The 27,777-nt window shown below is 38.0% G+C and overlaps 1 protein-coding gene across 26 annotated transcripts in view, besides 1 other annotated feature; it reads left to right on the top strand.

The window, feature by feature from the left end:
- NEK10 (NIMA related kinase 10) overlaps positions 1–27,777 on the top strand; it is a 262,900-nt gene that overhangs the window by 124,029 nt on the left and 111,094 nt on the right. The window lies entirely within an intron of this gene.
- Positions 8,330–8,530: a silencer, noted in NCBI's record as "peak4579 fragment used in MPRA reporter construct". NCBI's record gives its function as "represses an SCP1 promoter by STARR-seq MPRAs in K562 erythroleukemia cells {active_cell/tissue: K562}" and the evidence as "EXISTENCE:reporter gene assay evidence [ECO:0000049][PMID:32103011]".

Here is a 27,777-nt window from a genome sequence, read left to right as displayed (position 1 = left end):
CAAATGTGTGAAATACATTTATCTCTAGATGGAAGCAGGTGCATGGTACTTGTGGCCATATTCAACAAATCATAATGCAGCACCGTATTTCTTTAAAAAAGAAGAAGAATCCCCCAAATGGCTTCAGGAATCAAGACATGTGAAACAAAGAAATAGTCTATTTTAAACACTAACGGTTGGCACGTTAGCCCCACATCTCCTTAGAATGAAGTATAGCAGCCTGGATCCAACTAGGAGATAGAAATGATGCAGTGGGCTAAATAGGGGAAGTTTAATATGAAGAACAATTATGATGAAAGAGTAACTATAAGATGTAAGAAAACTACATGGTACTTTAGGGTTGAGTGACAGTACCAAGGAAGGATAAACTTGGAAGGGGTTCAGATTTCATTGGAAAAAGTGTGGTAGCCCAATAGACAGCAGAAAAGTTGGCTAGATGGTCCAGGCTGAAGCTGTTCTGGAGCTGCTAGGCAAGCTGGGAGCAACCCTCTGAAGTGCAGGTGAGGGAGCAAGGCATCAGCATCTGCGGTGTGGGCACATAGTGGGAGTCCAGCTGCCACAGGTGCCCTTCAGAGTTTAAAGGCCACAGGGAAGGGAGAAGAGGGGGCGAGTCCAGGAACTGCACAAGCAGGAGGCCTTCAGAGGGTGCAGGCTACACAGGGGCTCTGGTTTCTGTTTTGAGAAGGTTGAAGAAAAATGATCACCAGGCTGAGGCTGCAGGGTTGCAGAGGGAGAATGGGCTATGGTTGGGATAGGCTCTACTGGTTAGTCCTATACCTATACTGCCTACTCGTGGCCCATGTCAGAAATTGCAGGAAACCTCTTCCTCCTGCAGTGTCCCTCCAATCCATGTATAGAGAAAGCTTAATATTGTGCTCACTTTAAAGGAGAAATATTTAAAGGGATTCCATTGTTTATTGAATAATACATTAAGAGACAACAGGCAATAAGTTAATAACAGACACAATAAGAAACTTCAGGGCTTGGCCCAGCATAACAGTGGACTGGGCAACTAGTAGAATAGGGCCACATCCCTGCTAGGGGATGTTCAATGCCTTTAATTCTTCTGTAAAATAGGTGTTTTATTTCTCTGTGCCTCCAAACTTTTGGTGTATCTCCAGAGTGTCTTTTTGAATTGTGAAAATTAAATCTTTCAGTTCAATTCTGAATAGGCTCAGCGTATTTGGTGAAAAGCAGGAGCTATAGTTTGGCTGGGTTGAGTTTGTGCTGTGACACTGGAAGACCTAGAATTTTCCTCTTGGCATTGTAAAGCCACAGGGTATCTCTCAGCCTGACAGTTACTTGATGGAAATGCGGTTTTTTTGGGGGAATATCTGTGGAATGAAACTGGGAAAAGGGAAGGAGAGATGTGTATTCATCATTTTATCTGTCCCTCAAGTGGATATTCCAATATTTACTTCACAGGAGCAGATGACTTAGTTCTTTACCACTAGAAGAATTCAATTTAATTTGGGGACACGGACACACAGACACACACACACACACACACACACACACACACACCCATGGTGTCAGTCAAGTGTAGAAGATTAAAGGGTTAGAAAACCCTATGATGCTTGTAATGAGTCTCCAGGATAATATAGAAAGTAGGGTAGAACAGGGACCTCCCAGCACAGAGCTGCAGAACTCGAGGGAAAGGCCATTGGGGCTGGGGTGGATGCTCTGTTTTCTATGTAATAAATGTGCCATATTCTATGCACTAACTAAGAATTTTATAAACAGATATATTTTCCTCGAATTCAGACATTATGACAGTATATGTATAGAAGGGAGTCTGGTTGACGGATAAAATGGTCACAAGAAATCAAAAGGAAAGAAGAGAAAAGATAGCAAGGTGATGAGGGTAAACATATAATGGAAAGAGTGGAGAAGTCAGAGGATTCAAACAATGGGGAAATATGAAAGTGAAATTACCATATTAGGGGCAAAAGAATTAAATAAACATTTTCATTATTTTGCAGGGCTACATTTAATTTGTCTTATTCTTGTGAATGAGTTACTCCAAGTGACCTTACCAGTCATATATCCCTTTACATCAATTTATTTCTTAACTCATTTAGCTATTAGTACTTTATTAATTTTTATATTTAATTTTAATTATTAACTTTTTTATCTTGGCATTTCAGACTGTTCATAACAACCCTAGAAGTAATGACACGATGCTAACACAAGAAAACCTTCCTTTGAAGTGCCAGAAATTGTTTTCTCTAAAATAGTAGAATATTAGTTAGAAGGCCAATATTTTGAAATTCAAGCGTCTCTTTGGAGAAGGATTTTAAAAAAATCCTTTAAAACATTTTAAAACAAGACAATAAACTGTTAAACTGTGACAATTTTATGGCCTATCATAAAATGTCAAAATAAAGATTTTAAAATGTTAACTTTATGTAACCTTGATACATTGGCAATACTCAACCATTTTAAAACCTTCATTTTCACTGAAAGGCATACTTCTAGGATCCTCACATTTGGCAGTTAAGTTTTGAAGATTTTACATATATTGGTCAATTTCATTTTAGTACTCTAGGGTTCCAGGAAGGCCACATCTATTCCTCAGTAAAGCATTTGCCTCTCAGTCTGTTCAGCTCCTCCTCACCTTAATTCTTCTGAGTTCATCTGTAATTTTCATAACAAAGTGTACTTTCTTCATAAATTTAGTAAATAATGCTCAGAACTTCAGCAGTGAGAGAAGTAAGATGCCAGTGGACATGGGTGCATCTGTGCACAGTGGGCAACTGTGATGTGTGGCTGTCCCTTCCCCTAGGAGCCAACAGGACATAGTGCAGACTCTAGACCTGGATTGCCTGGGCCCAATCCTGGATCTACACCTTCCTGTTTGACTTTGGGCAAGCTACTTAATTTTTCTGGGCCTAAATTTCCTCACCTGAAATGGGGGCAGAGGGCAGTAATGATAATTTCTACAACATAGGGTTGTTATGAGGATTGAGAAGATAGTTGGATGGATGGATGGAAGGATGGATGGATGGCAATAGATTGATCAATCGATTGATAAGTAGATAGTATTATCTGTAGCATAGCAGGGATTTAATAAACATTACCTATTGTCAGGCTGGAAGCAACAGCCTCATTCTTTAGGAAAATATTTCTTCCCTGCCTTTACTTCAAGCACATGGTTTAAATGGCTTATACATTGGGAATACTCAAAAAAGTATCAATGCCAAAAGTCCCATTGCTTTAGAGATCCTGCCTCCTTGGCCTTACATGGTGGAACAATTCTAGTATGCATGTCCCTATAGCCCAAAATGTTAAAAGTAGAAGTGTTTTCTTGATTCAAGTTTAACCATTCAGAATTCTTTCTTGAGAACGTGTTGAGCTGAGGCTCAGTTAAAAGTTGAAGCTGGGAGGCAAAAGGCCCAGCAGTGTTTTGGTGGCCATGGTTGTAGCCAGGGAGGAAGTCAGTCTGACAGCATGAGGTCAATACTTAGAATAAGAGATGGCAATGTCCAGGCTCAAGATTCCATTTTCTTAAGTCCCAGCTGCAACTTTGCTCTTCCTGCACTTACAGGAGCCTATCAATAAAGTCCCCTATTTGCCTAACCTTGCTGGGTTTCTTTCTCTTGTCTCTTAGTTTGGGTTGCCCTGAAGGCAGACCCTGAGAAAAGAATTGAAGTGCAAGTGGTTTATTCTGGAGGTGATCCTAGGAAACATGAATAAAAGAGTAGGGGAAGTGAGACAGGGTAGGGAAGTAAGCAGATAAAGGATTTCTTGGGCAAGTTACCACTGTGGGCAATTAGAACTCAAATCTGTTGAGGTACTTGGGAGCCATTTATTTGAATACCCAAAAGGAGAAAGAGCAGTATTTATACACTTGCTCTTGAAGTCACTGGGTAAGGTCTGTTTCTGGGGTACAGTAATTCATCAGCACTTCAGGCTCATCATGTTGCAGACACAGAAAGTCATGAGATTAAAGAAAATCCTCAGACAAACCTGCAAATGGTTGGAATTCAGTCCAGTGTGCTCGCAAGAAGTAAGGGTCAGGGGATGTTAATAGGACACCTACAACATCTGCTTCAAGTTAACAATGAAAACAACTTTGACTGTCACAACAGAGATATGGTTGTAGGGTGGCCTCAAAGTCTGTACATGCCAGATTGTCTGAAAAAATCTTATTTTTCCCCCCATGCTCTCTGAACAAATTCTTCTATGCTGAATATTTGGAAGTCTTTAAAGATGTCCCTGAAGTCTGTTTTTAGATTTTCCTCACAGTTACATTGAGTTGAGAATTTTTTCCCCCAGTCATGCCCAGAGAGACTGTCTGCCTCCCTGTAGTTCTGGGGTGCTACTCCCTGTACCAACTTTGCAAACAAAATAGCAATACCAGGCTGATGAGGTAATGATCATTTTAAAATAGATGTGATAGGCCAGGCATGGTGGCTCATGCCTGTAATTCCAGCACTTTAGGAGGCCAAGGCAGGCAGATCACCTGAGGTCAGGAGTTCGAGACCAGCCTGGCCAACATGGTGTAACCCTGTCTCTACTAAAAAAATACAAAAATTAGCCAGGCGTGGTGGTGCACACCTTTAATCTCATCTACTCGGGAGGCTGAGGCAGGAGAATTGCTTGAGCCTGGGAGACAGAGGTTGCAGTGAGCCAAGATTATGCCATTGCACTCCAGTCTGGCCAACACAGTGAGACTCTGTCTCAAAAAAAAAAAAAAAGATGAGATAGTAATAAAAGTAAATCAGAATGAGGTAAGAATATTCTCCTGTGAGGGTCTCTGCTACCTTGAATAAAGACTATCAAATGTTTACATGGAAGTTGCTCAACTGTCTCTTTTTATTTCTTAGTCTGTTAAGGAGCAGGAATACACATTTTTATGTGACTTTATATTTAGAGAAAGGCATTTGTATAATTATGTATTATTGGGAGATTGTATTATCTTTTTTGTGAAATCACCATAATTATTTAGTTATGTACTTGAATTTTAAAAGCTAGTGCTATTTGGCTTGAATACAAATACAAAATATGTGATGTCAACCTATAATGCCAGCTTTTTTTTTTCTACAAAAAATCATTAGAGACAAGCAAATGGCAGTTGATGTATAATGAGAAATTTCAAGGCTGTTGGATCTGAATTTAATTTGTATTTGTGACTCAGAGTAGGCAATGCTGGAAAATCATTTGATGACTGGAGTGTAATCACTGGGTGAACATAATCCATTTGTTTAATTGCCCAGACTCCTCACTGTATTTACAGTTAATTGGTTCCCATTAAGGTCCTCTTAATAGAGACCATAAAACAGTAGGATTAGAGAAACCTGAAAAGGAACATTTAGTTTGAGTCCTTTCTTGAAGCCAAGTTGTAACATGTGCTCATCTATTTCATTTTTTACCATCTTCATAACAGACTGAGGGAGAAAAAGACTCTCAGGCAGGTGCTTTATAAATTATTTTTACTGTTTTGGCCTATGAACATTTCTATAGCCAGAAAATAAAAAAAAATCTAGTGTTCCTACATATAATTGAAGTTTTTCTCTTATGACTTGAAATTCTTTTTGGGTTTAGTGGCCAGGCAAAGCAAATGGTCACTACCCAACATTTAATGACTCTTCATGTACTGAAAGGTTATTTTAAGCCTTTTTTCCCTAAATTTCGTTGCTCATTCCTAGTTTTTGTAACCTTTTGATTCAGACTTCTAGATATTACATACAAAGATCGGATAGAAAACCTTTCAATATCTTAGGAAAGTCATGTGAACCCATCTGATGAGGAGGGATACAAGTCTCTTATAAAATGTGATTTTAGTGCTGCATTTTTAACTTACAGATTTTCTTTATTCTCCAAAGACGGGTTTATTTACTTCAGGACTGATGAAGCAAATTAAAATTATAAATTCTCCTCCCCCTTCCACAGAGATTTTCGAGTCTGCCTTCTTCTCCCTTTCTCCTACCCACAATTACCCTCACTACAAATGCTGGAGCTTCCCTTCCATTGGGCTCCAGCCAATTTGGGAAAATTTTGAAAGTAAATTAGTTTCAGTGACAATATAATCAAAATACAAAATTACTACATTTGAATATTTCTCATCACTGATTTTTAAAATCTATTGATAATATTCAGGAAGTTTTACATTCTTTCTGGGCACTTAACATTCTTAGTTATTTTAATTTTTTTTGTGAACTTGACATTTTATTTCTTAATTCATTTTAGCCAATTGTGAGAATTATGCATTAAAATGGGAGATTGGCCCCTTTCCACTGCATCACAGATGAAAAATGGAAAGTACCTTTGATTGGTCCCCTCCCACAAGCAATCACTGGTTGTGGGCCAAGTCTTCATGTGTAACTTTGTTAACTTCACTTTAGCCTCTGATTGGTTGACTCTTGCAACCAATCAGACTAGTTGTGGGCCAAATCTTCATTTATAGAGGGTATAACCAAGTAACCAATGGGAAACCTCTAGAGGGTATTTAAACCCCAGAAAATTCTGTAACCAGTGCCCTTGAGCTGCTTGCTTCAGCCTGCCCCTGCTCTGTGGAGTGTACTTTCATTTCCATAAATCTGTGCTTTCGTTGCTTCACATACACACACACACACACACACACACACACACACACACACACACACGAAAGGGGAGGTTGGTTAGATAAATAACACTAAGCTGGTAATACAGTAATGTATTTGTTGACCCAGAAGCATATTTACAATATTAAATAAAAAAATAGGTTACCAATGGCATATATTTTATGATCCTATCACAGATAGAAATATCTGAAAATATTGTCAAGTCAAGCAGACATCACAGACAAAAGTGAATTAGAAATTAAAGGAATATGAATACATATAACAAAATAAAAACAACAAAACTTCAAATCTGAAAAAAGTTTATAATTTGTTGATTAAAGTTTCTTATATTGTTTTCTTATTAGAAAATCAGTATATTCTCTGCAGAAAATGAAGAAAAAATCCCATTAAGAATATTCGTAATCCTACTAACCCAGAAATGGAAAAAACTCACAGAAAATAGCTTATTGTCCAGATTCCAAATTCCTTTCTATGTGAACACACAAACACACATACACAAATACTGATATTAATGAGTGCTTTTCTATAGCTTCAGTTTTAATATCTGGATCGAATCCCAATACTTGGTTAAAATCATGATTCATTCAGCCAATCTCCTTTTTTTAGATATGCAAATTATTTCCAGCTTTTCCCTAACTCATATTACACAGGGCACGTATTCTTGGCTAAAACTAAATTAGAAATAAGAAAACAAAAGTTATCTGTGGCAAAGTTAGCCTCTAGCACACCATCCCCTTCTTAATCCCCAAATAAAAAACCCTGACTACACTTGTTGGTGAATATTTTGTTATTGGCTATAGTATTTACAACCTTTCTGCTGTATGCAGCTCACTAATCTTCTCTACTCTTGAGGGTGCGGAAAGCATGGTGTATTATTGGTGACACAGCCCTTTTTATACAATTTCACATATCAGAGCTGGTTTTGCAAGGATGACTTGATGATTTGATGCCCACCATTTTCTTTACTGTTAAAAAATTTCAATAGTTTTTGGGGTACAGGTGGTTTTGGGATGCATGGATAGGTTCTTAAGTGGTGATTTCTGAGACTTTAGTGTACCCATCACCTGAGCAATGTACACTCTATCCAATATATAGTCTCACCCCACTCCCACCCTTCCTCACCCCACTCCCACCCTTCCTCCTGAGTTCCCAAAATCCATTATATCATTCTTATGCCTTTGCATACTCACAGTTTAGCTCCCACTAATAATTGAGAACATATGATGTTGTGGGAAGTCAGGGACCCCGAACGGAGGGACCGGCTGGAGCCACGGCAGAGGAACATAAATTGTGAAGATTTCATGGACATTTATCAGTTCCCAAAATTAATACTTTTATAATTTCTTACACCTGTCTTTACTGCAATCTCTGAACATAAATTGTGAAGATTTCATGGACATTTATCAGTTCCCAAATAATACTCTTATAATTTCTTATGCCTGTCTTTAATCTCTTAATCCTGTTATCTTCGTAAGCTGAGAATGTACGTCACCTCAGGACCACTATTGTACAAACTGATTGTAAAACATGCATGTTTGAACAATATGAAATCAGTGCACCTTGGAAATGAATACAATAACAGCAATTTTAGGGAACAAGGGAAGACAACCAAAGGTCTGACTGCCTGCGGGGTCAGGCAGAATAGAGCCATATTTTTCTTCTTGCAGAGAGCCTATAAACAGACATGCAAGTAGGAGAGATATCGCTGAATTCTTTTCCCGGCAAGGAATATTAATAATTAATACCCAGGGGAAGGAATGCATTCCTGGGGGGAGGTCTATAAACGGCCACTTTGGGAGTGTCTGTCTTATGCGGTTGAGATAAGGACAGAAATATGCCCTGGTCTCCTGCAGTACCCTGAGGCTTATTAGAGTGGGGAAAAGATCCCACCCTAGTAAATTTGAGATCAGACTGGTTCTGTGCTCTTGAACCCTGTTTTCTGTTGTTTAAGATGTTTATCAAGACAATATGTGCACAGCTGAACATAGAACCTCATCAGTAACTCTAATTTTGCCCTTTGCCTTGTGATCTTTGCTTTGCCCTTTGCCTTGTCATCTTTATTGCCCTTTAAGGCATGTGATCTTTGTGACCTATTCCCTGTTCATACACCCTCTCCCCTTTTAAAGTCCTTAATAAAAACCTGCTGGTTTTGCGGCTCAGGTGGGACATCACGGACTTACCGATATGTGATGTCACCCCCTGGAGGCCCAGCTGTAAAATTCCTCTCTTTGTATTCTTTCTCTTTATTTCTCAGACTGGCCGACACTTAGGGAAAATAGAACCTACATTGAAATATTGGGAGCTGGTTCCCCCGATAATATGATATTTGGTTTTCCATTCCTGAGTTACTTCAGTTAGAATAATGGCCTCCAGCTCCACCCAAGTTGCTGCAAAAGACATTATTTTGTTCCTTTTTATAGCTGAGTAGTATTCCATAGTGTATATATACATTTTGTTCTTAAAAATATTTCATTTATTTATTTACTTATTTTTTAACTTTTAAGTTCAGGTGTACATGTGCAGGATGTGCAGGTTTGTTACATTGTTAGTTATATAGATTATTTCATCACCCAGGTATTAAACTTAGCATCCATTAGTTATTTTTCCTGATCCTCTCTCTCCTTCCATCCTCCACCCTCCAGTAGACCCCAGTGTGCCTTGTTCCCCCTCTATGAGTCCATGTGTTCTCATCATTTAGCTCCCACTTATAAGTAAGAATGTGCAGTATTTGTTTTTCTGTTTCTGCATTAGTTTGCTAATGATAATGGCCTCCAGCTCTATCCATGTTCCTGCAAAGGACATGATCTTATTCTTTTTTATGGTTGCATAGTATTCCATGGTGTATATGTATCACATTTTCTTTATATGTATCACTTTTTTTTACCCAGTCTATCATTTTTGAGCATTTACGTTGATTCCATGTCTTGGCTATTGTGAATAGTGCAGCAATGAACATGTGCATGAACAAGTGAATAGTGCATGCATGTTTCTTTATAATAGAACAATTTCTATTCCTTTGGGTATATACCCAGTAATGGAATTGCTGGGTCGAATGGAATTTCTGTCTTTAGGTCTTTGAGGAATTGCCACACTGTCTTCCACAATGGTTGAACTAATTTACACTCCCATCAACAATGTAAAAGCATTTCTTTTTCTCCACAACCTCATCAGCATCTGTTATTTTTTGACTTCTTAGTGATAGCCATTGTGATGGGCGTGAGATGACATCTCATTGGGGTTTTGATTTGCATTTCTCTAATAATCAGTAATGTTGAGCTTTTCATATGCTTGTTGGCTGAATGTATACCTTCTTCTGAAAAGTGTTTGTTCATGTCCTTTGCCCACTTTTTAATGGCGTTGTTTGTTTGTTTTGTAAATTTGTTTAAGCTCCTTATAGATGCTGGATATTAGACCTTCGTCAGATGCATAGTTTGCAAAAATTATCTCCCATTCTGTAGGCTGTCTTTTTGCTGTGTTGATAGTTTCTTTTGCTGTACAGAAGCTCTTTAGTTTAATTAGATTTGATTTGTCAATTTTTGCTTTTGTTGCAATTACTTTTGGCATCTTCATCATGAAATCTTTGTCAGTGCCTATGTCCTAAATGGTATTGCCTAGGTTTTCTTCTAGGGTTTTTATAGTTTTGGGTTTTAGATTTAAGTCTTTAATCCATCTTGAGTTGATTTTTGTGTGTGGTATAAGAAAGGGGTTCAGTTTCAATTTTCTGCTTGTGGCTAGCCAGTGATCCCAGCACCATTTATTAAATAGGGAATCCTTTCCCCATTGCTTGTTTTTGTCAGGTTTCTTAAACATCAGATGGTTGTAGGTGTGCAATCTTATTTCTGAATTATCTATTGTGTTCCATTGGTCTATGTGTCTGTTCTTGTACCAATACCATGCTGTTTTGGTTACTATAGCCCTGTAGTATAGCTTGGAGTCAGGTAACATGATACCTGCAGCTTTGTTCTTTTTGCTTAGGATCTCCTTGGCTAGTTGGGCACTTTTTTGGTTCCATATGAATTTTAAAATAGCTTTTTCTAGTTCTGTGAAGGACGTCAAATTATAGTTTCATGGGAATAGCATTGAATGTATGAATTGCTTTGGGCAGTATGGCCATTTTCACAGTATTGATTCTTCCTATCCATGAACATGGAATGTTTTTCCATTTGTTTGTGTCCTTTCTGATTTCTTTGAGCAGTGGTTTGTAGTTCTCCTTATAGAGATCCTTCACTTCCCTTGTTAGCTGTATTCCTAGGTATTTTATTCTTTTTGTGGCAGTTGTGAATGGGAGTTCATTTGTGATTTGGATATTGGCCTGATTGTTGTTGGTGTATAGGAATGCTAGTGATTTTTGCACATTGAATTGTATCCTGAGACTTTGCTGAAGTTGATCACCAGCTTAAGAAATTTTTGGGATGAGACAATGGGGTTTTCTTGATATAGGATCATGTCATCTGAAAACAGGGATAGTTTGATTTCCTCTCTTCCTATCTGAACATCCTTTATTACTTTCTCTTGCTTGATTGTCCTGGCCAGAATTTCCAATATTATGTTGAATAGGAGTTGTAAGAGAGCATTCTTGTGCTGGTTTTCAAGGAAAATGCTTCCAGGTTTTGCCCATTTAGTATAATATTGGAAGTGGGTTTGTCATATATGGCTCTTACTATTTTGAGGTGTGTTTCTTCAATACCAGTTTATTGAGAGATTTTAGCATGAAGGGATGTTGAATTTTATTGAAAGCCTTTTCTGAATCTATTGAGAATAATCATGTTGTTTTTTTTCTTTAGTTCTCTTTATGTAATGAATCACATTTATTGATTTGCGTATGTTGAACCAACCTTGCATTCCAGGAATGAAGCCTACTTCACTGTGGTGGTTAAGCTTTTTGATGTGGTGCTGGATTCAGTTTGCCAGTATTTTGTTGAGGATTTTTGCATTGATGTTCATCAAGGATATTGGCCTGAAGTTTTCCTTTTTTGTTGTATCTCTGCCAGGTTTTAGTATCAGGATGTTGCTGGCCTCATAGAATGGGTTAGGGAAGAGTTCCTCCTTTAAAATTTTTTGGAATAGTTTCAGTAGGAATGGTACCAGCTCTTCTTTGTACATCTTATACCACATTTTCTTTATCCACTTGTTGGTTGATGGGCACTTAGGTTGGTTTCATATCTTTGCAATTGTGAATTGTGCTGCTACAAACATGCATTTTCATAAAACAACTTCTTTTCCTTTTGGTAGGTACCCAGTAGTGGGATTGCTAGATCAAATGGTAGTTCTACTTTTGGTTCTTTATGTAATCTTCTTACAGTTTTCCATAGTGATTGTACTAGTTTACATTCCCATCAGCAGTGTAAAAATGTTCCTTTTTCACCACATCCACACCAACATCTATTGTTTTGGATTTTTTAAAAAAACGTTTTAATTATGGCCATTCTTGCAGGAGTAAGGTGGTATCTCATTATGGTTTTAATTTGTGTTTCCCTGATGATTAGTGATGTTGAGCATTTTTCATATGTTTGCTGGTTGTTTCTATGTCTTCTTTTAAGAACTGTCTATTCATGTGCTTTGCCCACTTTTTGATGGGATTATTTGTTTTTTTCTTGTTGACTTGTTTTGAGTTCCTTGTAGATTGTGGATACTAGTCCTTTGTTGGATGTATAGTTTGTGAATATTTTCTCCCACTCTGTGGGTTGTCTGTTGTTTACTCTGCTGATTATTTATATTGCTGTGCAGAAGGTTTTTAGTTTAATTAGGTCCCATTTATTTATTTTTGTTTTCGTTGCATTTGGTTTTGGGGTCTTAGTCATGAATTGTTTGCCTAAGCCAATGTCCAGTAGAGTTTTTCTGATTCAGGTGTTAGATTTAAGTCTTTGATCCATCTTGATTTGATTTTTGTTTAAGGTGAGAGATGGGGATCCAGTTTTATTCTTCTACATGTGGCTTGCCAGTTATCTCAGAACCGTTTATTGAATAGTGTATCCTTTCCCCCAATTTATGTTTTTGTTTGTTTTGTTGAAGATCAGTTGGCTGTAAGTCTTTGGCTTTATTTCTTGGTTCTCTATTCTGTTCCATTGTCTCCATGCCTATTTTTATACCAGTAACATGCTGTTTGCTAACTATAGCCTTGTAGTATAATTTGAAGTCTGGTAATGTGATGCCTCCAGATTTACACTTTTTGCTTAGCCTTGCTTTGGCTATGTGGGCTCTTTTTTTGTTCCATATGAATTTTAGGATTTTTTTTCTAATTCTGTGAAGAATGATGATGATATTTTGATGGAAATTCCATTGAATCTGTATATTGCTTTGGATAGTATGGTCATTTTCTTAATATTGATTCTTCCTATCCATGAGCATGGGATATGTTCCCATTTGTGCATGTCATCTCTGATTTCTTTCAGCAGTGTTTGGTAGTTTTCCTTGCAGAGATCATTCACTTCCTTGGTTAAGTATATTCCTAAGTATTTTATTTGTTTTGCAGTCTTTGTAAAAAGAGTTGCATTCTTGATTTGATTCTCAGCTTGGTCATTCTTGGTGTGTAGCAGTGCTACTGGTTTGTGTACATTGATTATGTATTCTGAGACTTTATTGAATCCATTTATTGGATCTAGGAGCTTTTTGGATGAGTTTTTAGGTTTTCTGCGTATATGATCATATCACGATGTGTTATCTTTTTGATATGCTGTTGGATTTGGTTAGCTAGTATTTTATTGAGAAGTTTTCCATCTATATTCATCAGGGTTATTAATCTGTAGTTTTCTTTTTTTGTTATGTCCTTTCCTGGTTTTTGTATTAGGGTGACAGTGGTTTCCTAGAATGAATTAGGGATGATTCCCTCTCTCTCTATCTTTGGGATAGTTTCAGTAGAATCAACACCAATTCTTCTTAGAATGCCTAGTAGAATTCAGCTGAGAATCTGTCTTGTCCTGGCTTTTTGTTGGCAGTGTTTTTATTACTGATTGAGTCTTACTGCTTGTTATTGGTCTGTTCAGAGTTTCTATTTCTTATTTGATCTCGGAGAGTTGTATGTTTCCAAGATTTTGTCCATTTCCTCTATATTTCCTGATTTGTGCATGTAAAGGTGTTCATAGTAGCCCTGAATGATCTTTTTTATTTCTGTGGTATTGGTTGTAATGTCTCCAGTTTCATTGCTAATTGAGCTTATTTGGATCTTCTCTCTTCTTTTCATGGTTAGTCTCACTAATGGCCTATCAATTTTGTTTATCTTTTCAAAGAATCAGATTTTTGTTTCATTTATCTTTTGTACTTTTTTGTTTCACTTTCATTTAGTTATACTCTGATGTTTGTTATTTCTTTTCTTCTGCTGGGTTTGGGTTTAATTTGTTCCTGTTTCTGTAGTTTTTTGAGGTGTGACATTAGATTATCAATTTGTGCTCTTTCAGACTTTTTGATATAGGCATTTAATGCTATGAACTTTCCTTTTAGCACCACTTTTGCTGTATTCCAGAGGTTTTGATAAGTTGTGTCACTGTTATCATTCATTTCAAATAATTTTTAAATTTTCATATTGATTAATCATTCAAGAGCACATTATTTAATTTTCAAGTATTTGTTTGATTTGGAGGGTTCCTTTTAGAGTTGATTTCCAGGTTTATTCCACTGTGGTTTGAGAAGATACTTCATATGATTTTGACTTTCTTAAATTAATTGAGAGTTGTTTTGTGGCCTATCATATGGTCCATCTTGGAGAATATTTCATGTACTGAAGAGAAGAATGTATATTCTGCAGTTGTTGGGAAGAGTGTTCTGTAAATACCTGTTAAGTCCATTTGTTCTAGGATATAGTTTAAGTCCACCATTTCTTTGTTGACATTCTGTCTTGATGATCTGTCTATTGGGAGTATTGAAGTCCCCCACTACCATTGAGTTGCTATCTATCTCATTTTTTGAGTCTGGTAGTAATTGTTTTATAAATCTGGGAGCTCCAGTGTTAGGTGCGTATGTATTTAGGATTGTAATGTCTTCTCATTGGACTAATCCTTTCATCAATATATAATGTCCTTCTTTGCCTTTTCTTACTATTGTTGCTTTAAAGTCTGTTTTGTCTCATATAAGAATTGCTATTCCTGCTTGCTTTTCATTTCTTTTTGCATGGATTATCTTTTTTCACCCCTGTCCTTTAAGTTTATTTGAATCCTTATGTGTTAGGTGAGTCTCTTGAGGACAGCAGATATTTGGTTGGTTGTTTTCTATCCATTCTGCTATTCCGTATTTTTTAAGTGGAGCATCTAGGCCATTTACGTTCATTGTTAATACTGAGATGTGAGGTACTATTCTATTCATCATGTTACTTGTTACCTAGATACTTTTTTTACATTGTATTATTGTTTTATAGGCCCTCTGAGATGTATGCTTTAAGGTGGTTCTATTTTGGTGCACATTGAACTTTTGTTTCAAGATTTAGAAGTTCTTTTAGCATTTCTTGTAGTGCTAGTTTCGTAGTGGCAAATTCCCTCAGCATTTGTTTGTCTGAAAAAGACTTTCTCTCTCCTTTATTTATGAAGCTTAGTTCTACTGGCTATACAAATCTTGGCTGAAAATTAATTTGTTCAAGGAGGCTAAAGATAGGATCCCAATCCCTTCTGGCTTGTAAGGTTTCTCCTGAGAAATCTTCTGTTAGTCTGATCGGTTTCTCTTTATAGGTCACCTGATGCTTTTGTCTTACTTCTGTTAAAATTCTTTTCTTCATGCTGATTTTGGTTTGCCTGATAACTATGTGCTTTTGTGATGATCTTTTTGTAATTAATTTCCCAGGAGTTCTTCGAGCTTCTTGTATTTGGATATCTAGATCTCTAGTAAGGCCAGGGAAGTTTTCCTCAATTATTCCCTAAAATAAGTTTTCCAAACTTATTTGTTCTTTTCCCTCAGGAACACCAATTATTCTTGAGTTTGACTGTTTTATATAATCTCATATTTCTTGGAGACTTTGTTCATGTCTTTTGAGTCTTTTTTCTTTATCTTTGACTGATTGGGTTAATTTGAAAGCCTTTTCTTTGGGCTCTGAAATTCTTTCTTCTACATGTTCTAGTCTATTGTTGAAACTGTCCATTGCATTTTGTATTTCCTTAAGTGTGTCTTTCATTTCCAGAAGTTCTGATTGGTTTTTCCTTATGATATCTATCTCTCCGGAAAATTTTTTATTCATTTCCTAGATTAAAAAAATTTCTTTATGTTGGTTTTAACCTTCCTCTGTTATCTCCTTGAGTAACTTAATAATCAACCTTCTGAATTCTTTATCTAGCATTTCAGAGATTTCCCTTTAGTTTGGATTCATTAATGTGGAACTCGTGTGATCTTTTGGGGGTGTTATAGAACCCTGTTTTGTCATATTGCCAGAATTACTTTTCTGGTTCCTTCTCATTTGGGTAGACTGTTTCTTCAGATTGTTCTTGAATTTATTTTTGATTTAACTCTGTTTTTCAATGAGTTCCTATTTTTCCTTTTAAGGATCAGACTTTAATGTTTATAGTTTATTATAGCCTAATTTGATTCTTTGTACTGTTAGGGGTAAAGACTCTGTATGAGTTCCTAAGTTGTAGACTTTGTGCACTGGCTTTCCTAGATGCTGGTTGTAGTAATTATGTGTTTGGTGTGTGGGCAAATTCACTGTCTTCTATTGGGTTGGAATGGCAGGGATATCTTGAAGCTTATCTCATTCTCTTGAGGTGCAAACTTTATTTATTTATTTAATTTTCCCCTAGTATTTTATTTACTGAGTTGATGATTCACGCTTCAGGCCAGTAGGGGGGGTATCCCTGAGTAGGAACCAGTTGTAGCTAGGTCAGGTGCGTAGATGTAATACCCAGTGCTAATACCTAGAGGTCCCAGTCTCCATGAAGGTGGCTGGGGGAGCTCTCAATTAGATGTGCTGAGGTTTTTATCAGGGAGAAGGGTGGGAGCTACCTCAGCTCCTCTGCCAGGCCAGCAGGAAAGGAATCCACCTCCCAGCCTTACTCCTATCCCAGAGTTCCAGCTATTCAGATCAGACAGGCATCTCTTTTCATCTGTAGGAACGTTGATGTTCCAAGTAGGGAGGAATTGTCACTCTGCCTCTTGTGCAAGCCTGAATCTGGGGAGTGCTCCTCCTGTGGGGCTACAATCATTCTAAATTGTTCCAGGAAGGCTGTCTATAGGTTGATGCCCTCCATTTTCTCATCTGAAACAACCTGCTCCCACTAGCTCCTGCCTCTTAGATCACGTTGTCCTGCATGAAACCTCTTTATGCAGCTTTCAAATATTGCCAAGATGTGATGGGCCATGGTAGAAATAAGCAGAATGTGCTAATTGCCACATTTTCTCCTTAAAAGGAGAAAACAACAGCATCTAGCTAACATTATTTACTGAAATTGTTTTGGACCACTGAGAAAATAGGGCCAGAGAGTTTCTCTATAACAGGAGATAGCAAGAGGGTCTGAAGAGAGCACAAAATCTGAGCAATGGGAGGGAAAGTGGTAATTCCAAATATATTATTTTAAGTCATCATGAGGAAATGAAGAGAGTAAGATGTGTAAGAAGTGGAGGTTGGTTTAATATCTTTGCTTTAATAACCAAATCACATAGCTAGTAAATTGGGAAGTGAAAATTTAAACTTGGTCTTGCCTGATACAGCATTAAGAAAAAGGAAAGGACAGAAAGTTTTTCTTAGTAGCAAGATAATGATTAATATGTAGAATATCCAGTGACTAGGAATATTCATTGGTGATCGTTTTCTCATTTTATCAAGGAAAATGTTCACTTCTTGACTATTGCAAGTTTCTTCCTGACCATTAAAGTAATAATAACTAGCTAGAAGTTATTGTGCCCTTATATGTGTCAGTGTCTGAGTTTAAACAAGATCTGCTTTAACTTGGATGCTTTTCGACAAAGCAGTTTTTACTCAAATTGCCTGCCACGCTATTATACCACTCAAGAGTGGCCAAGGGCTATAGGCAAAGTAGCCATGCCTATGGCACTTCTCAGATCAACAGGGACCTTCTACTGTTTATGTACAATTAGAAAAACATTTTTATTATTCTCTGTTTATACCTGTTCATATGAATAAAATAAATGTTTCCTTGGTTATGGGTATCACCTACTTAGTGATATTTACTTTCAAGTTTTATGCCGTTGAATTGCTGACATACAATGTGTGTTATGATGGAATCAAGGGTTTATCCTGTACCCCTTCAGCCACCATGTCAGTAGGGAACAGCAGAGCAAGCCTGGGAAGGTCACAGGAGTTGAAGGGGCTGCAGGAGGTCCGTGAAATGGGAAGTCAATATGTGCCCGATGTCTGAGGAGGAGGTGTTTGACTATAATTAATGTTTGGATTAGGAGGATTTGGCAGGAGGAAGAAGTTTTGACTCTAACCTTTATGCTAATGAGCCTGCTCCCTACTTCGCGGAGAAGCTGGGAGCTATGGAAGAGAACTTCCACAAGCTCCTGCTTCCATGTCTTTCCCCTTACCCATACCTGTGTTCCTGTAACCGACCTTTTCTCATGCGACTCTGCTTCCATGGTCCTGGTGAAGGCCACCCCTCCTCCTGTCTGTCCATTTCCTCAAGGGCATCACTCCAGCAATTCTCTGTCATGTATCAATTTCTACACCTCCATTAGTTTGCTTCTACCAATTTACTAGCATTCTGTCATTTTTCCCATTAGAAAAATAATCCATGAAAAAGAGGACTTGGTACATAGCAAGTGCTCAGAAAATGCTTGTTCAATGAATAAATGAATGAATGAATAAATGAATGAAAGCACTTAAGGGAGTAAGGCTTTTGTAATAATTTAGGGGTGGGCTGATTTGGACTTGTTGGCAATGAGAATAAAAAGAAATGGGAGGTAGGATATACACTTTGAAGAAAGAATTAAAAATCCTTGGTTAGTTATTCTATACATATGTAATACAGGAGGGGAAATAACCTGTAATTTTAGGATTGTGTGTTTGATAATAAGATTATTTTGTGGTATAACTGATAAGGATATAGTTGATAGAAGTGGTTTGTTTTCCTCCTTCAAGTATTTTTATTTCCATTTTTTCATATATCTTTTTTTCTAAGAATAAAAATCTTATCATCTTAATATTAGATATGTGCATTGGCCAGGGAATGTTTTCTTTTAAGATTTATAACTAATGGTAAATTATTAATGTTGAGCCTGAGACGAATTTGCCTCTGTTCACTATGAGTTGTAATTACTCTTTGGAGTCAACTGAGGGCTAGAAAGAGGTGACCCAGAGTTAAAAAGCATTTAGCCCACTTTGCCCAGGGCATCTGAAAGCGTTACTGTGACCTCTGCAGCAGCCGTTAGGTCCACTCAAGAAATAGCTAGTGCACTATGGACTACCTAGACATGGAATATACTTTGCCAGAATTCCCTCAATAAGTAGATTATTCCCACCTTCCTCTTTCTCTTTCAGTCTTTCTTTCTTTCTTTCTTTTTTTTAAAAACTGTGGCCAGGCACGGTGGCTCACGCCTGTAATCCTAGCACTTTGGGAGGCCGAGGCAGGCAGGTCACAAGGTCAGGAGATCTAGACCATCCTGGCTAACACGGTGAAACCCTGTCTCTACTAAAAATACAAAAAAAAGAAAAAAAAAAAATAGCCGGGCGTAGTGGCGGGCGCCTGTAGTCCTAGCTACTCCGGAGGCTGAGGCAGGAGAATGATGTGAACCCAGGAGGCAGAGCTTGCAGTGAGCCAAGATCATGCCACTGCACTCCAGCCTGGGCAACAGAGCGAGACTCCGTCTCAAAAAAAAAAATATTGTAACCGTATTTTATTTGGTTTGGGACATTTCTTCAAGTAGACATACAGTGTACATTTGTCATATTTTCTGGCTGGTCAGTTAATCTTATGAACTCATTTCCTATATCTGGGGGGGACTTCCTACCTTATGAATATCTTTTCCTTAAGCAAGTCAACAGAAAAATGTGTAATCTTAGCCTCCTTGCAGCTGAAACACAACCATGTGACTTAGACTCCATCAATCAGATTACGTCAGCAAGACTTGGATTTGCAAGTGAGAAATGGGAGAAAGTATGTATTGGCTAGAGTCCAGTTTGGGCCAGGGGAAAGGGTGGTGTTGGAAGATGGCAGGATTGGGTCTACTTTCCACTGTCAGTGGTACAAGTTGTGCCTGACCCAATACAATGTTGGCTAAAGCTTTGTCCCTCCCCGTATGGCCTTCAAGCCTGACTGCTGGGTACTCCAGGGACTTTGTAAGCTTCCTAACAGCCTTTAATAAGTGTTTTCCTGTGTAAATGAACTTTAATGCTTCTATAGCACAAGGTACAGTGGTAATGGTTTTTAATGTAGCACAATAAGGATTAAAGAAAAGAGGGGACATTATGTGCACATTCTCCAGTTTCTTCTTCCTGTAACAAAGTGGGTGTGATGGTTAATACTGAGTGTCAACTTGATTGGATTGAAGGATACAAAGTATTGATCCTGGTTGTGTCTGTGAGGATGTTGCCAAAGGAGATTAACATTTGAGTCAGTGGGCTGGGAAAGGTAGACCCACCCTTAATCTTGGTGGGCACCATCTAATCAGCTGCCAGCATGGCCAGAATATAAGCAGGCAGAAAAGTGTGGAAAGAGAGACTGGCCTAACCTCCCAGCCTTCATCTTTCTCCCATGCTGGATGCTTCCTGCCCTTGAACACTGGACTCCAAGTTCTTTAGTTTTGGAACTCCGACTGACTCTCCTTGCTCCTCAGCCTGCAGACTGCCTATTGTGGGACCTTGCAATTGTGTAAGTTAACACTTAATAAACTCCCCTTTATATACATATCGATTCCATTATCTCTGTCCTTCTAGAGAACCTGGACTAACACAGTGGGAGAAGAATGCAAAAATAGCTCTGGATCTTCATGTAGTTATAATTAATAGTAACAAGTGACATTTTGTGAGCACTAACTATTTCAAGTTACTGTGCTTTTCAGATATTGTCTAATATAATACTTTTGGTGGTCCTATGAGAAGAGCCATCATTATCTCTATTTTTAGAAGAGAAAAAATGATGTTTAAGCAACTTGCTATCTTAGCCCGGGTTCCATAGAAAACGGAGCTTACATGTGAGCTTTTTATTGGAGAGGAGAGGTAGTAATCCCAGGGTAGTGAGAGTAAGGAAAAAAACAAGAAACAAAGAAGGGAAGGAAGGACAGCAAATACAATGTACTGTTACTGAGCTTGTCACAGCTTTATTAAGAAGCAGCATTTACTTGGTCATGGGAGATGTCTCTGGACAGATCTTATGGGACTTCTGTGCATTAGAAGAGTCGATTGTGGGAGGGAAGGAAGAATAATTCATTTCCTGTCTCTCATTGATGAAAGTTTGCCCATAGGCCTTATTTAACCTCCAGATTCTTTTGGTTACTCAACCCCACTGGAAGTGTTGTGGGGGCGGGAGTATGCAGCCAGCACCTCTTGTAGAGCAGTTGGCAGGGGCCTGGGTACAGAAGCTGCTACAGCTCTCACCAGACTGCCATGAGGGAACTCATGCTGGAAGCCAGCCCTCACCCTAAGAAGCCAGACAGCTGAAAGTGTTAAGAAATGGGACTGTCCATTGAACAGGCTACCAAAAGCCGGGGAGGCAGTTGGGACAGGACAGATCTGGGAAGGGAAATACTTGACAAGAGACATCACTCTTGTCTCTGCCTCACCTGGCATTCTCTGTGTGTCTATGCCTGTGTGTCTGTTTTCTCAGTACAGTAGTCATATTGGATTAGGGCCCACCCTTATGCAGTATGACCTCATCTTAACTTGATTACCTCTGCAAAGATCCTCTTTCCAAACAAGATCACATTCACAGGTACTGTGAGTTAGGACTTCAACATATCTTTTCAGGGGACACAATCCAACCCACAAAACTTCCTGATGATTAGAGAAGACATGGATAGAATTTGCAGAGAAAAGGAAGTGATTAATTTAGTTTTGAGTATGTTGAGTTTGAATTGCTTTTGAGATGGTAAGACTGTTATGTCCAATAAGCAACCCAAATATGTTTCTGGAGCCTCAGGGGAGTGTTTCTGGCTGGTAAGGAGACATAGGGTCATCAGCATCTGTGTGAAACTTGCTGTGAAATAGACAAGTGATGAATAAAACCTTGAGGAGCCACAATGCTTAAGAGGCAAACACAGAGACAGGAAGGTTGGGGTGACTTACAAGGAGTAGGCAGACAGGAAGTTCAAAAGAAAAAAAACTAGAAGAAAGTAGTGTCAGACACGATGTGAGAAAGTTCCCAAGGAGGAACGCAATGCTTTTCTAAGCTCAGTAGTATTACAGAGCAGCCAGGTATTGAGAATTGTTTTTATATGGTGATTTCATATGCGTCCATGTAAAGGATGGAAGAGTATCCCTTGGATGTGCAGATGGACAATGGTTATCCAGAGAGGTTTCAGGGGAGTGGTAAGGGCTGGGGTACAGGGGGATCATGACAAGCAATGGTAGGTAGAACTGTGGCAACAGCCAATAGAGGAAAACTGTGCTATGATGAAATATGAGAACAGGAGGTGTGGTTAGAAATCAGGAGACTTGACGATCCTTGTTTCCAGACAGGAAAGAGCCGTTGATGGAGGAAGAGGATAAAGATGTGAGAAAGGGAGCAAGCAAGGGCTCAGAATGCAGCTCCCAGCTTCAAACACAGCACCTTTGTTATGGCTTCTTCTACATGTTGAGCTTCTGCACATTATTTAATATGAAGAAAGGGTTCTAGAAAATCATTGGAAACTGTTGAATTAGATGTCCTAGCTCTAAAAAGTTCTATTAATTATTAATTATACCTCTACACTGAGTAATTTATAGTAATAGCTTGAATGACCACATTCAGATAATCCTGGGCTATTTAAGGTCATGTTGCCAAAAAAAAACTTAATAGGAATAATTATTAAAGATGTAATTATTTGCATTTCAGTTCCTGACTAGCTCTTACAATTTGGACATGTGTAAATTTCAGCTTTTAAATTTTGGTTTGTGTTTGAAAAATAAAAGCATTTCTCAGCTGAACTATTAAAATATTTGTAGAGTTTTTTTTTACATGAAAATGAGATTTTAATACTGGTTCAATTTTTAAGCCATATATTACAGTTTAACCAAAATATATTTTTATAGCTCTCTGCTTAAGTAAAGTTATGGGTAGTAATACCTCTTTGTGAAACACATGTATTATTTATTATCATTATAAAAGAAATTCATGTTGGTTGGAAGAGTTTGAAAAAATGTATATACATATCAAGAAAAAACTAAAATCACAATCACATATAATTTCACCACCTGGGGCTAAGAATTATTTCGATGTTTTTCATTCTTTTGTATTATGAAATATTTCATATGTGTAACAAATACCCATTTATGCATACTAGGTTTTACTACATTATGGCTTTATTATATATTCTTAAGAAAAGGTTTTTGTTTTGTTTTGTTTTGTTTTTTTGAGACGGAGTCTCGCTGTCGCCCAGGCTGGAGTGCAGTGGCATGATCTCGGCTCACTGCCACCTCTGCCTCTCAGGTTCAAGTAATTCTCCCGTCTCAGCCTCCAGAGTAGCTGGGACTACAGGCACCGGCCACCATGCCTGGCTAATTTTTGTATTTTTAGTAGAGACGGGGTTTCACCATATTGGTCAGGCTGGTCTTGAACTCTTGACCTCAGGTGATCCACCTGCCCCAGCCTCCCAAATTGCTGGGATTACAGGCATTTGCCGCTGCGCCTGGCCAGGAAAAGTTTTTTGAAGAAATAATGTTACGGAGTCAATTGAAGGCTCCTCTTCATCCTACTTCCCCTTCCTACCCAGAGGTAACCACTATCTGGAAGTTTTCCACTATCTGGAAAAAGTATGTTTTTATACTTTTACGATGTATGTAACTATTCATTCAACATGGAGAAGTATCACTAGTAGCTGAAAGCACTGCCTCAGCCAAGCCCTCCCTAAGGAGGTCTCAACTGGGACTCCTGAAAAGGGCCTGAACTGAAGCCTCTGAATGGAAGTGCCTGAGCTAGGAAAGCAGAGAAGCCTATGAGCAGGGCTAGTGGGGGTGGAGGGACCAGGCAGTGAGTTCTTGGCTGCAAATCCCTCCAGAAGCTGTAACATACTAGCTGTGTACCAAGTCTGATGTGGAGATGGCAGTTTCCCCCAATGAGGTCTGCCGGGCAAAGCCTTGTAACTGTCTAGGGTCCTGCCTGAAAGATAATACATAGGATTTTGGCCTGCAGCCATACTCCTCAATATGGTAATTCTATGTTTAACTTTTTGAGAAACTGCCAAATTGTCTTCCAAAGTGACTGCACCATTTTCCATTTCTACCAGGAATATGTGAAGGTTCCAATCTCCTACATGTTTGCCAATAGTTATTATTTAATCTGTCTTTTGGATCATAGCCACACTAGTGGGTATGACATGGTATCTCACTATGGTTTTTCATTGCATTTTTCTGTAACTCATGAAGTTTAACAACTTTGTTTTTGCCCATTTTTAAACTGGGTTACTTGTGTTTTTATTATTGAGTTATAAAAGTTTTTACTTATTTTGGAAAGCAGATATGTATCAGATATATGATTTGTAAGTGTGTTCTTCTATGTGTTCTCTTCTCATTGTCTTGATAATGTCCTTTGAGGCACAAAAGTTTTCAATTTTGATGAAATCCAACTTATTGATTTGGTTGCTTGTGCTTAAGAGTCATTCTAGGAAACCATTGTGTAATCCAAAATCACAAAGACTTACACCTATATTTTCTTCCATAAGTTTTATAGTTCTAATTCTTATATATAGGTCTATGACTCATTTAGCATTAATTTTTGCATATGGTATGAGGTAAGGTTCCAACTTCATCCTTTTGCATGTGTGTATCCAGTTGTCCCAGTACCATTTGTTGAAATAACTTCTTTTCCTATTGAATTTTCTTGTCATTATTGTCAAAAATCAGTTGACCATATATATAAGGTTTATTTCTCAAGGGCTTCTCAGTTTTATTTTATCAATCTATATGCATATCCTTATGCCAGTCTCACACAGTGTTAATTACTGTAGCTTTGTAGTCAGTTTTGAAATCAAGAAGTATGAGTCCTTCGTTCTTATTTTTCAAAATTATCTTGGCTGTTCTGTGTCCCGTGTGTTTCTAGATAAATTTTAGGATCATCTTGTCAATTTCTGCAAGAAAAAAAAAAGCCAATTGTGTTGAATCTGTAGATCAATTTGCCAATTGTGATAGGCAGAAAAATGATCCCCCCACCCCCGCAAGATGTCTACATTCTAGTATAATCCCTAGACCCTATGGATATGTTATGTTACATGGTGAAGGGGAATTAAGGTAGCAGATGGATTTGAGGCTACTGGACCCAGTGTAATGACAAATGTCTTTAAACATGAAAAAGGGAGGCAGAAGATTAAGTGCCAGAGTGACATGCTGTGAGAAAGACTTGACTGGCCATTGCTGACTTTGAAGATGAAAGTGAGCCATAAGCCAAGGAATGTGGGCAGTCTCTAGAAGCTGGAAAAAGGCAAGGAAATAGATTCTCTCCCAGAACCTTCAGAAAGAAATGCAGCCCTACCAAAACCTTGATTTTAGTCCAGCAAGAACCAATTTAGAGCAATTCAGGACTATAAGATGTGTGTTCTAAACCACTGAATTTGTGGTGATTTGCACAGCAACAAGAGGAAACTAATGCAGCCATTTAAACAATGGCAAGTCTTCTAATTTCTGAACACAAAATGTCTTTCCATTTATTTAGGTCTTTTTTAAAAAACTTTTTTCAATGATGTTATGCTCTTTTTAGTGTACAAGTCATGTACTTTCTTTGTTAAATTTATCCCTAAGTTTTGGGTTTTTTTGAAGCTATTGTAAATAAATTGTTTTCTTAATTTCATCTTGGATTGTTCATTGCTAGAGTATAGAAATATAATTTATTTTTGCATATTGATTTTGTGTACTATAAACTTACTGAACTCATATATTAGCTGTAATTTTTTTGTGAATTTCTTGCAATTTTCTACACAAAATATCATAGCACCTGCAAATAGAAATTGTCTTACTTCTTTCCTTCCCATCTGGAGACCTTTTATTTCCCTTTCTGACTAAGTGACTCAACTAGAAATTCCAGTGCAATGTTGAATGAAGTGGTAAGAGCAGACTTCCTTGTCTTATTCCTGATCTGAAGAAGTGTTAGGGGAATATAAATTAAAAAACAAAATCTCTTGCCAACCCAGACAAGCTCAACCCAAAAGTAGAAAAGAAAACAGTTTGGATTTTTGAATAAACATGAAACCAGATGTCATTTTCAACATAGGCAATCCACTAAAGAGATAGAAAAGACAGAAAGAAATCTCATACAGCTAAGCAGATGTAACCCTTGTCATACATGTTCTCAAGATAAATGATAACTAGTCTTCAAGCAAGAGGACTTGACTCACCATTTGTCACACACAGTTCATCCTAAATTCATCTGATAATTGGGGTAGGCATCTGTGTTTACTAATTGCCTTAATCCAAAAGAAAAACAAATCTATTATATCTTTATGACAGGAGGTAGGTTTGTAGTTTGGACCCAGGTGCCTGCTGAGTTAGGCTGCACCCTCCCATGGAAACTCCCCTGGTAGGTGCATGGTCTTCCTCATTGGCTTCATTTCAAAGAGATGGTGGCTACGCCTTTAAGGAAAAGGTTCCTGGGTTATAACACTGACAAGAGGCTTATTTAAGTTTTGGAAAGACTTACAGAGTTCATTTTAAAGAGGCAGAGAAAGAATGAACAATTATAAATTTTCTAAGGCATACGCACTAAGAAAAGGTGGAGAGTGTGGAAAATCTCTTACCCTTCTTGTGTTGAGGGAGAACATAGGTGGTTGTATGTATATGTGTGTTTTTCAAGATTCATGTTATTTACCCGTCTGAGTGGAAGCTGTTGGTCTTTACCGTGAAGCACAATGTTACCTGAGAATTGTGCAGATGTCTTTCATTGGGCTGAGGATGTTTCTTTCTGTTCCTAGCTGAGTGCTTTTATCACGAAAGACAGTTGGACTTCGTCAAATGCTCTTGTCTGCATTTACTAAGATGATCCTTTTTTTTTTTTTTTTTTTAGACTTCATTCTGTTAATATGATGTTTTACCTGGATTGATTTTCGTATTTTAAGCCGTCCTTGCTTTTCTGAGACAAATCCCACTTGGTCATGGTATACACAGTAGTCCCGTCTTTTTTTTTTTTTTTTTTTGAGATGGAGACTTGATACGTTGCCCAGGCTGGAGTGCAGTGGCGTGATCTCGGCTCACTGCAACCTCCGCTTCCCAGGTTCAAGGGATTCTCCTGCCTCAGCCTCCTGAGCAGCTGGGATTAAAGGCATGCGCCACCAAGCCCGGCTAATTTTTGTATTTTTAGTAGAGGCAGGGTTTCACTGTGTTAGTGAGGCTAGTCTCAAACTCCTGACCTTGTGATCCGCCCGCCTTGGTCTCCCAAAGTGCTGGGATTACAGGCGTGAGCCACTGCGCCCAGCCCACAGTAGTCCCTTCTTATCCATGATTTCACTTTCCACAGTTTCAGTCAACTGCAGTTTGAAAATAGTAAATGGAAGATTTCAGAAATAAACAATTTGTAAGTTTTAAATTGCGTACCATTCTGCGCAGTGTGGTGAAATCTTGCACTGTCCTGCTCCTTCTCACCTGGGATGTGAATCTGCTCTTTTTCCAGTGTATCCACACTGCATGCTCTATCTACACAGTAGTCACTTAGCTATCTCAGTGATCAGGTCAACTGTCATGGTATCTCAGTGCTTCTCTTCAAGTAACCCTTATTTTACTTAGTAATAGCCCCAAAGCATCAAAGTAGTGATGCTAGAATATTGTTATAATTCTTCTATTTTGTTATTAGTTATTGTTAATCTCTTACTGTATCTAATTTATTAATTAAACTTTATCATAGATATGTATATCTAGGGAAAAAAGTTTGTATAGGGTTTGGTACTATCTTTGGTTTCAGGCATCCACTGGGGGTCTTAGAACATATTTTCCCTGGATAAGGGGGTACTACTGTAATTCTTTTTATATGTTGCTGGGTTCAGTTTACTAGTATTTTATTGAATATTTTTGTGTCTATATTTATAAGGGATATTGGTCTGTTTTCTTTCTTGTGATTTTACTTGCCTGGGTTTTGTAGCAGGTTAATACTGACCTCACAGAATGAGTTGGGAAGTGACATGATTTGGATTTGTGTCCCCACCCAAATCTCATGTTGGATTGTAATTC

This window comes from Homo sapiens, chromosome 3 (genome assembly GCF_000001405.40).
Source record: "Homo sapiens chromosome 3, GRCh38.p14 Primary Assembly".
NCBI lineage: Eukaryota > Metazoa > Chordata > Mammalia > Primates > Hominidae > Homo > Homo sapiens.
This window is presented reverse-complemented; position numbering and strand designations above follow the sequence as displayed.